This window comes from Homo sapiens, chromosome 6 (assembly GCF_000001405.40).
Source record: "Homo sapiens chromosome 6, GRCh38.p14 Primary Assembly".
Classification (NCBI taxonomy): domain Eukaryota; kingdom Metazoa; phylum Chordata; class Mammalia; order Primates; family Hominidae; genus Homo; species Homo sapiens.
This window is the reverse complement of record NC_000006.12, coordinates 30,617,478-30,626,550: the sequence shown is the minus strand read 5'-3', so window position 1 is coordinate 30,626,550 and position 9,073 is coordinate 30,617,478. Positions and strand designations below refer to the sequence as shown.

The 9,073-nt window shown below is 46.5% G+C and overlaps 1 protein-coding gene across 2 annotated transcripts, besides 1 other annotated feature; it reads right to left on the bottom strand.

Annotated features, from left to right (window-relative positions):
• Window positions 1-158: 158 nt before the first annotated feature.
• MRPS18B (mitochondrial ribosomal protein S18B) lies at window positions 159-8,711 on the bottom strand. Of its 2 annotated transcripts, NM_014046.4 has the most exons (7): window positions 8,608-8,711; window positions 6,950-7,058; window positions 6,745-6,842; window positions 6,562-6,630; window positions 3,653-3,719; window positions 1,609-1,668; window positions 159-1,049 (listed from the first exon to the last, which is right to left on the bottom strand). In NM_014046.4, the coding sequence occupies exons 1-7, from the start codon at window positions 8,683-8,685 to the stop codon at window positions 754-756; spliced, it is 777 nt and encodes a 258-aa protein (NP_054765.1). In that variant the 5' UTR covers window positions 8,686-8,711; the 3' UTR covers window positions 159-753. The 2 variants fall into 2 exon arrangements, with proteins under 2 accessions (NP_054765.1, XP_024302176.2); XM_024446408.2 differs by lacking the exon at window positions 3,653-3,719.
• Window positions 8,482-9,050: an enhancer, noted in NCBI's record as "H3K27ac hESC enhancer chr6:30585278-30585846 (GRCh37/hg19 assembly coordinates)". NCBI's record gives its function as "activates a minimal SCP1, AML or CMV promoter by ChIP-STARR-seq in naive H9 embryonic stem cells {active_cell/tissue: H9 hESC(naive)}" and the evidence as "EXISTENCE:reporter gene assay evidence [ECO:0000049][PMID:30033119]".

Genomic DNA, 9,073 nt, shown 5'->3' with positions numbered 1-9,073 from the left:
AGCTGCCCATCCCCGGCTTCTAGTCCCAGGCGTCACAGGCAAGGCTGGCTTAAGCCTGACCACTTATCTCCCCACAGCATCACCCAATTGCTTATATGAAAAGACCATCACTCAGCCCACCCCCCGCTAATGGCATTCATCGGAAACAGCCCAAAGCAAACCAGAGACAGTAGAGCTTTATTGTGTAAAAGCTGAGTTGGTAGAAGTATGAAACGGCAACAATGTTTAGCCCAGCCCATCTATTTACAATATATAGGGGTTGGGGTTTCCCATACACATCTGTACCACCCGCCCTCAGCCTCAAGATTTATCCCTATCAGCAACATTCATTTCCTGGATTTGTCACTGGCCACAAAAGACACAACTCTTCAGGGTGATATCCCATCACATAAACCTACATACACATTATCTCCTAGTCCCTCTAGCTCTCTTCCCAGTCTTTTTTTTTTTTTTTGAGACAGGGTCTAGCTGTCACCCAGGCTGGAGTGCAGGGGTGTGACTGCAACTCACTGCAACCTCCGCCTCCTGGGATCAAGTGATCCTACCTTAGCCTCCCCAATAGTTGAGACTACAGGTGTGCACCACCACACCCAGCTAATTTTTGTATTTTTTGGTAAAGACGAGGTTTCACCATGGTGCCCAGGCTGGTCTCAAACTCCTGGGATCAAGTGATCAGCCCACCTTGGCTTCCCAAAGTGCTGGGATTACAGGAGTGAGCCACCACGCCTGGCCTCTCTTCCCAGTCTACAGCTCCTACAGAGCACTCTGAGGGCCTGTCTGCCCAGTGGAGGAGGCTTCCGCTGGTGTTCTAGGGGGCATCTTGGGCATTGACTCAGGTGGGGGGCCACTCTCTTCTTGGAGATGACCCTGGTAAAGCCGGCGAAGGCGAGACAGTTCTCTCTCCGGTGGCTGTTTCCAGTTGTACCATGGGTACCAGGGGTCACCTGAGACCAGGGTGGGGGCTGGCGGAGTAGCACTCACAGCCCCATGAGAGGTACTGAAGTCAAGGTCCCGTGGTTCAACCTGGGGGATGTGGTAAATGAGGAGACCTAAGGGATTAAAAAAGAAAAGAAATTTAAGAGGCAATGAGGAGGGTGGTTTAGATGAAGTAAGAAAAAGGATTATAAAGGGAAGGACCAGTCAGAGCCACCAGGTACATTTATGCATGTTGTATACTGCAAACAGGTGACCGGCCCAGAGGGCAAGTGTGGGCTGACATACTGCTGGGGCTCTTGCTTACAAAGCTGTGCAGTGCTGAACAAGGACTATGAAGCTGCATCTGCCCTAGCAGAGGGGTATACTTTTTACTAACTTATGCAGCAGTGCCATGTAGTCCAGGGCCAGACATTTATATAAAGAACTTCCTAAGGCATTGAGACCAGCAGTTGTAAAATAGGAGGGAAAAGGATGGAAAGACAAAGAACAAGGAGACAGGACAATGATAAAGTAAGACACTCAGGAGAAAGGACAGGGGACAATGTAACGTCAGGAAGAACATGCTGGGTGCTACCATCTTGAACAGGTGTGAGCATTTATATCCATTTTCTAGCCCTAAGTCATCTTCCTTATACCTAAACAAAACTGCTGTGTGCCCCGTCTCATGCTCACCATGATCCCTGGCTTTCTGGATGGCCTGGGTCAACCGCTTGTGCTGCTTCACACAGACTCCTGTGGGGAGAAAAATATCTTGTTCTTTAAGGCACAGTAAATAATAGAACACAACTGCTTCCATATGGTGACAGAGGGGTAGATTGGGAAGGATTGGCTTTACCTAATGACCCCTTTCCCCTGACCCCTCCATGGACCTCAGTTTCCCCATCTGCCCAAAGGAAAGAATCTCCCCCATCTTTTGGAGAGCTGGGATAAAGATTTAGGAGGGTCTAGCCACTATAGAGAAGCCATTTAATGGTAAAACCTCCAAGACAGGGAGAACACAATTTAATGGGCAAGTGTGGTTAATTAGAGGGTTGAGTTGAACAATCCACAAAGATTCAATAAAGGGAAAAGAGATTTCAGAGTTGGGGAAGGCAATCTGAGAGAGTAACAATAATAGTCCCTTCAGCCTTTACAGCTTGACTATAAGAAACTCTTGACAAACTGAACACTGATTGTACTGCCACCCCCAACAATGGTGAATTCAGATTATTCTCTGCAAGGCCAGGCACGGTGGCTCATGCCTATAATCCCAGCATTTTGGGAGGCTTAGGTGGGAGGATCACTTGAGGTCAGGAGTTCAAGACCAGACTGGCCAAAATGGTGAAACCCTGTCTCTACTAAAAATACAAAAAAAATTAGCCAGGCACAGTGGCACGTGCCTGTAATCCCAGCTACTTGGGAGGCTGAGGCAGGAGAACTGCTTGAACCCAGGAGGTGGAGACGGCAGTGAGCCAAGATCATGCCACTGCACTCCAGCCTTGGGTGACAGAGTAAATGAGATTTCATCCCCCCACCCACACCCCCCCAAAAAAAACAAAAACAAAGATTAGTCTCTGCCGGGCACGGTGGCTCATGCCTGTCATCCCAGCACTTTGGAAGGCCAAGGCAGCTGGATCACCTGAGATCCGGAGTTCGAGACCAGCCTGACCAACATGGAGAAACCCCATCTCTATTTGCCGGACATGGTGGCATGTGCCTGCAATCCCAGCTACTCAGGGGGCTGAGGCAGGAGAATCACTTGAACTTGGGAGGCAGAGGTTGTGGTGAGGCAAGATTGCACCATTGCACTCCAGCCTGGGCAACAAGAGTGAAACTTCGTCTCAAAAAAAAAAAACAACAAAAAATTATTCTCTGCAAATTTGTCTTGCTTCAGAGCAGGGGTTAGCAAAATTTTTCTGTCTAGAGTCATATAGTAAATATTTTAAACTCTGCAGGTCCTGTGGTCTCTGTCTCAGCTACTCAACTCTGCCATTGTAGCATGGAAGCAATTGCAGAAAATATGAAAACAAATGGACGTGACAGTGGGCCAGATTTGCCCTGTGACTGTAGTTAGGGAATAAATATAATTCTGAATTGTTAAATTTACGATTCCAAGTTTGGAAAATCTAATCCAATTGACAATGATATAAAATAACTTATGTGACAATTTGTGAGAAGTCTTTTGTAAAAGTTAAAAGACCCTATAGAAAGGAATTAATCACTGTTTATCAATTAAAAACTACATTTAGATAGTTTGCTTACAGAAGTACTTGTTTTTTTCTTTTTCCTTTTTTTTTTTTGAGATGGAGCTTCACTTGATGCCCAGGCTGGAGTGCAATGGCGCAATGTTGGCTCACCACAACCTGTGCCTCCTGGGTTCAAGCGACTCTCCTGCCTCCGCCTCCTGAGTAGCTGGGATTACAGGCATGCATCACCACAGGGTTTCTCCATGTTGGTCAGGCTGGTCTCGAACTCCCAACCTCAGGTGATCCAGCCGCCTCGGCCTCCCAAAGTGCTGGGATTACAGGCATGAGCCACCACGCCTGGCTGTATTTGTTGTTTTCTTTTGTCCACATTTAATTACTTTAGCCCCCAGCAAGCCAAGATTTCCAAAAGGTTCAGCCAGACCTTTTAGGCTATAAGCAGGAGCCACTGAACAAATACCTATTGGCCAACTACATAAACAAGGCATGCCACAAGGAAAAGCTCTCTGGTGGTGCAGGGATGATGGGCTAACCTGTGTATGGAGCATAGAAGATGATACCCGTGTGGGCGCAGACAAATTGCTCCAAGAGCTTCACGTTCTGTGGGGGAAAGTGGTAGAGAAACGTGAGGAAAAGAGGCAGGGAGAGCAGCAGGATCTTTGGACATCGAAAGTACACAATCCCTACACACCCACATGGACCACCTTCACCCCTCTACAGCTCTCCAGATGCCATCCTCCTTCATGTCCCAGTTTGGCTTCATCAATTCACTGAATCCATCCTTGCACATCCCATATTCTGTCACTGTGCTCCCATAGAAATCTCTTATGCAGAGGTTAAGTTCTTTTTTTTTTTTTTTTTTTTTTTTTTGAGACAGAGTCTCCCTGTGTTGCCCAGGCTGGAGTGCAGTGGCGCGATCTCAGCTCACCACAACCTCCGCCTCCCAGGTTCAAGCAATTCTCTGCCTTAGCCTCCCGAGTAGCTGGGGTTACAGGCGCCTGCCACCACACCTGGCTAATTATTTTGTATCTTTAGTAGAGATGCGGTTTCACCATCTTGGCCAAGCTGGCCTTGAACTCCTGACCTAGTGATACACCCACCTTGGCCTCAGAAAGTGCTGGGATTACAGGCATGAGCCACCGCGCCTGGGCTGCAGAGGTTAAGTTCTAACGTCAGCCTTTAGGTGAAAAACTGGGGCTGGTCATTGGAAATCCCAGAAATCACCCAAAAAATGATATTGTAATGTGTATGTATAAACAACTAATGTATTTAATAGTATGCTGAATATAATTTATATACTAAGAATAATTTTACAATTTACATAGAACTCTCTCTCAGCAAATTAACTAGGAAATGAGACTCTTGAAAAAAAAGCAGGTACATTGTAGAGTAGAATGCAAGCAGAATCACCCATGCTACTAAATTTGTAACATTTCTCTCTCTCAGTTATGTAATTAATTATAATCTCTGTTTTGTTTTGTTTTTGAGACGGAGTCTCGCTCTGCTGCTCAGGCTGGAGTGCAGTGGTGCAATCTTGGTTCACTGTAACCTCCATCTCCCAGGTTCCAGTGATTCTCCTGCCTCAGCCTCCTGAGAAGCTGGGACTACAGGCGCCCGCCATCACACCCAGCTAATTTTTTTTGTATTTTTAGTAGAGACGGCGTTTCACCTTGTTGGCCAGGCTGGTCTCAAACTCCTGACCTCAAGTGATCCACTCACCTTGGCCTCCCAAAGTGCTGGGATTACAAGCATGAGCCACCGCACCTGGCCATAATCTCTTTTTATAACCAATTATATGCAATTGAAACTGGGAAATTATCTATGGGACTCCTAAATAACCTGTGTTAGAAGGGTTCTTATTGCAGTCAAATACCCCCATTTTCTGACTGTTATCCAAATGCTCTACTACTTCCCTGATGATCAGCCATATAGCTTCTGCTCTAATACTTTTGCTGCAAGCTCAGAAGAACACTTTCCCATTATCTGTTTTATTGATATAATGTTTTCAAATTCTTTTTGTTTTGTTTTTCTTTGAGGAGTTTCACTCTTTCGCCCAGGCTGGAGTGCAGTGGTGCAATCTCAGCTCACTGCAACCTCCGCCTCCCGGGTTCAAGCAATTCTCCTGCCTCAGCCTCCCAAGTAGCTGGGATTATAGGCGCCTGCCACCATGCCTGGCTAATTTTTGTATTTTTAGTAGAGACAGGGTTTCACCACGTTGGCCAGGCTGGTCTCAAACTCCTGACCTCAGGTGAAGCACCTGCCTGGGCCTCCCAAAGTGCTAGCATTACAGGCATGGGCCGCCGCACCCAGCCAATATGTTTTCAAATTCTTTAAGGAGCAAATCCTGTCCTTCTCACATATTGAAGGCTTTTTGAAAAATAATGGACTCTATCTTGCTTCATATACCTGCCCTCCAGCCCCAGGTGCCAGCATGGCACTGAACATTGACAAGGAAATAAAGAAAACCTCAGGAAGAAAGTGGGCCAATATATTTGGTAATAACTGTAATGAATACAAACGAATCTTTGGATATTGGCTCTCCCACTAGAAATAGCCATTTCGCTGGCTGGGTGTGGTGGCTCACACCTGTAATCCCAGCATTTTGGGAGGCCGAGGCGGGTGGGTCACAAGGTCAGGAGTTTGAGACCAGCCTGGCCAATATGGTGAAACTCTGTCTCTACTAAAAATACAAAAAATAGCTGGGCTTGGTGGCACAAGCCTGTAGTTACAGCTACTTGGGAGGCTGAGGCGGGAGAATCGCTTGAACCCAGAAGGCGGAGGTTGCAGTGAGCTGAGATCACGCCACTGCACTCCAGCCTTGGCAACAGAGTAAGACTCCGTCTCAAAAAAAAAAAACAGCCATTTCTCTTACCTGCCAATTTAGACTGTAAATTTCATAGGCATAGGATAAAACTTTCAGTACAATCCATAGTAGAAGGTAAAAGGCTGGAGGGATGTTTTTATAATGCCAGAAACAGTTACTATAAAACGGACTGTAGGGCCTCCTGGATATACGAAGTGTGGGGCACCTACAGTAATCTCTTTGGCACTGCAAAGGGGCTCCTAATCTTTATTTTTCTTTTTAATTTTTTTTATTTTATTTTATTTTTTTTTTGAGACGGAGTCTCACTCTGTCGCCCAGGCTAGAGTGCGGTGATGCGATCTCAGCTCACCGCAAGCTCTGCCTCCCGGGTTCACGCCATTCTCCTGCCTCAGCCTCCTGAGTAGCTGGGACTACAGGCGCCCGCCACCACAACCGGCTAATTTTTTGTATTTTTAGTAGAGACGGGGTTTCACCGTGTTAGCCAGGATGGTCTTGATCTCCTGACCTCATGATCCACCTGCCTTGGCCTCCCAAAGTGCTGGGATTACAGGCGTGAGCCACCGCGCCCAGCCCCTAATCTTTATTTTTCTTACCCTAAAAAGAAAAGACTCTCCTTACCCTAAAGTCAACATGCAACTTGTGATCTCGACAGATGGGGCAGGGATTCCCAACAACTTTATTCCGACGCTGTAGAGAGAAAAAAAACAGCAGTTAAGGATGTTCAAACACGTCAGAAAAAGTGCTGCTGTTACTGTTACTTGTGGCCTCCCCGCACTCCACATCCCACTCTCAGAAACTCACAATACATGTCTTCCGAGTCCGCTGTGGGGGTACACCACCCTTGTGGTTGCGGCGGTAGTCAGCCCAGACGGGGCGAGAACCATATCGCTCCTGGTATTCTGAAATGAAAGATCATACAAGTTATTCCTGGGTGGGAGTGTAGTGGGTGGCTCTGTCCACTTATCTCAAATCCTATCTGACCCTCCCTTTCCCCCTTTAGAGGTACCTTCTGATTCCAGATATTTCCAGGGCTCATCCTTATAAGGAGAAATGGGAACTGAGGACAAAGAATCTTCCTCAGAGGGAGCTTTGGTGCAAAGAGTCTGGAGGGGAACCTACAAAGGAGAAGAAAAAAATAAAAGAATGAGTTTAAGGAAAGGACTAAATTGTTTTGCTTATCACACTTTGGAAAGGAGGAATGCACACATACTGCATTAATGGAATATAACAGGAATGCATATGTAAGTTAAGTATTTTTGTTGGGTTTAAATTGACATAAATCAACAACCACTCTCCTTTTCTACAATTGGATCCTGAAAGAAAAGCTAAGTTAGGGGATATATGCCTAAAAAACAATCTTATTTCAGAAGACAAATAAAAAGTCTAGTACAAGGCCGGGCGCAGTGGCTCACGTCTGTAATCCCAGCACTTTGGGAGGCCCAGGCAGGCGGATCATGAGGTCAAGACATCGAGACCATCCTGGCCAACATGGTGAAACCTTATCTCTACTAAAAATACAAAAATTAGTTCGGCGTGGTGGCATGCGCCTGTAGTCCCAGCTACTCGGGAGGCTGAGGCAAGAGAATCACTTGAACCCGGGAGGCGGAGGTTGCAGTGAGCCAAGATTGCGCCACTACACTCCAACCTGGCAACAGAGTGAGATTTCGTGTAAAGAAAAAAGAAAAAAAAATCTAGTACATAAAAGGTATTCTTGCTTTTTGGAAATAAATTGACTCTGGTGGAAGAATAAAGTAAGAGGAAGGATATCTAGGTTCTTGGAACTAAGATGTGTGGTGGGGAGGGGATGCAGAAGACAGGTGAGTCTCCAAATCAATCCAATGAAGTCACTGAGTTGCCCATTTTCATAAAAGCTGAAGGTCAACATTCTACAGGGCAGAACAAACTTGAGTCCTAACGCTAGTTTTAAAGCTACCAAGGCTGTTATTATTTCTGTGTTGACCTCTGTCACCACTCTTCAGTCCCACTTTAGGGAGTGGCAGCTGGGCAAGCCTTCCTATCTCACCGTGCCCCACCAAGAACCTCCAGAGAGGTGAGTACACAAGACTGGAGGGAAACCTCAATTCAAAGGACGGAGTTAAGCTCTCATAACTCCGATAAGAAACTGATTTAATAAAGAGAGCTGAGAAACTGTCCTCAGGTCGTAAGAATATATCCTGACCTTATTGAGAAATAGCAAGGTTGGTAGAAATTGGGATCCCTAATTTCCCCAAGGACATTCCAGAGCAACACAGATTTAGTCACCACTTGCATAGTTAACAGCTGGTTGTGGCGCTCGCTTGGGGAGTACATATGTTATGCTAAAATTGCAACGATACAGAGATTAGCATGGCCCCTTAATTAGTTAAATAATTTTTAAAAAGCTGGTTATGCATGACTGAGGGTGGACAGGGGTCAATTCCATCACTTAAGTTATTTTACTGAAATGGCATTTTGGAAAAAGGATGATACCTAACCCTGGCGTTTAGTCCTCGGCTCGGGATTAGAAAATGCGCGGGGTGTGGGGGGGGGGTTGCAGGAAGTACTGCCTAGACAGCTAAGACACACGTGGGAAGGTCTCCACTCGTGGATTCCTGACAGTGGAGCGACAACCTCGAGAAGGTATAACCAACTTGAGGTTGTGCAAAATGTCTTTCGAAGAGTTACCTGAACTCTGTGAGAACCTCGGAAGAGAGATAGCATAGGAAGCCGCCTCAGCACGGTGTTTAATACAGACGCCGCCATCTTGACGTACGCCCAGGACAGGAATTGACGGAAAGGCAACTGCGCATGCTTCAGGAAACTGAGTAGGGCAGGGCCAAGGACAAGCCCGCAGTGCGGAAGGCGGCCCCACGTTTGCGTCAGGACGGAAGCGTGAAAGGGAAGGCATGGGGGAGAAGCTAATTTCAACTGCGTCACAATCGAATTAGACCCCAAAATTGCGGTTTTTTTTGGCCAGTCACTACGACTCTTAGATCGCATTGTTAAAGTTTGCCTTTTAAGCAATTTTGAAGGCGATTTTTAGCGGTATCCTCTCAGTGCGCATGCGCTCTTAGGTTTCTACCAATCCTGGGTGAGAAATGTTCTCCAGGGCGGAAGTGGCGGAAGCAGAGGAAAGGGAGGTGCTAGGCTC

What these genes read in the sequence shown, in the direction of transcription:
- MRPS18B (NM_014046.4), bottom strand. Translation starts at nt 8,685, where the DNA reads ATGGCGGCGTCTGTATTAAACACCGTGCTGAGGCGGCTTCCTATGCTA. An exon ending in GGACTCGGAAGACATGTATT is followed by an intron (nt 6,631 to 6,744) that starts GTGAGTTTCTGA and finishes TTCTCTCTACAG; the next exon opens with CGTCGGAATAAAGTTGTTGG. An exon ending in CTTCTATGCTCCATACACAG is followed by an intron (nt 1,669 to 3,652) that starts GTTAGCCCATCA and finishes TTCTCCCCACAG; the next exon opens with GAGTCTGTGTGAAGCAGCAC.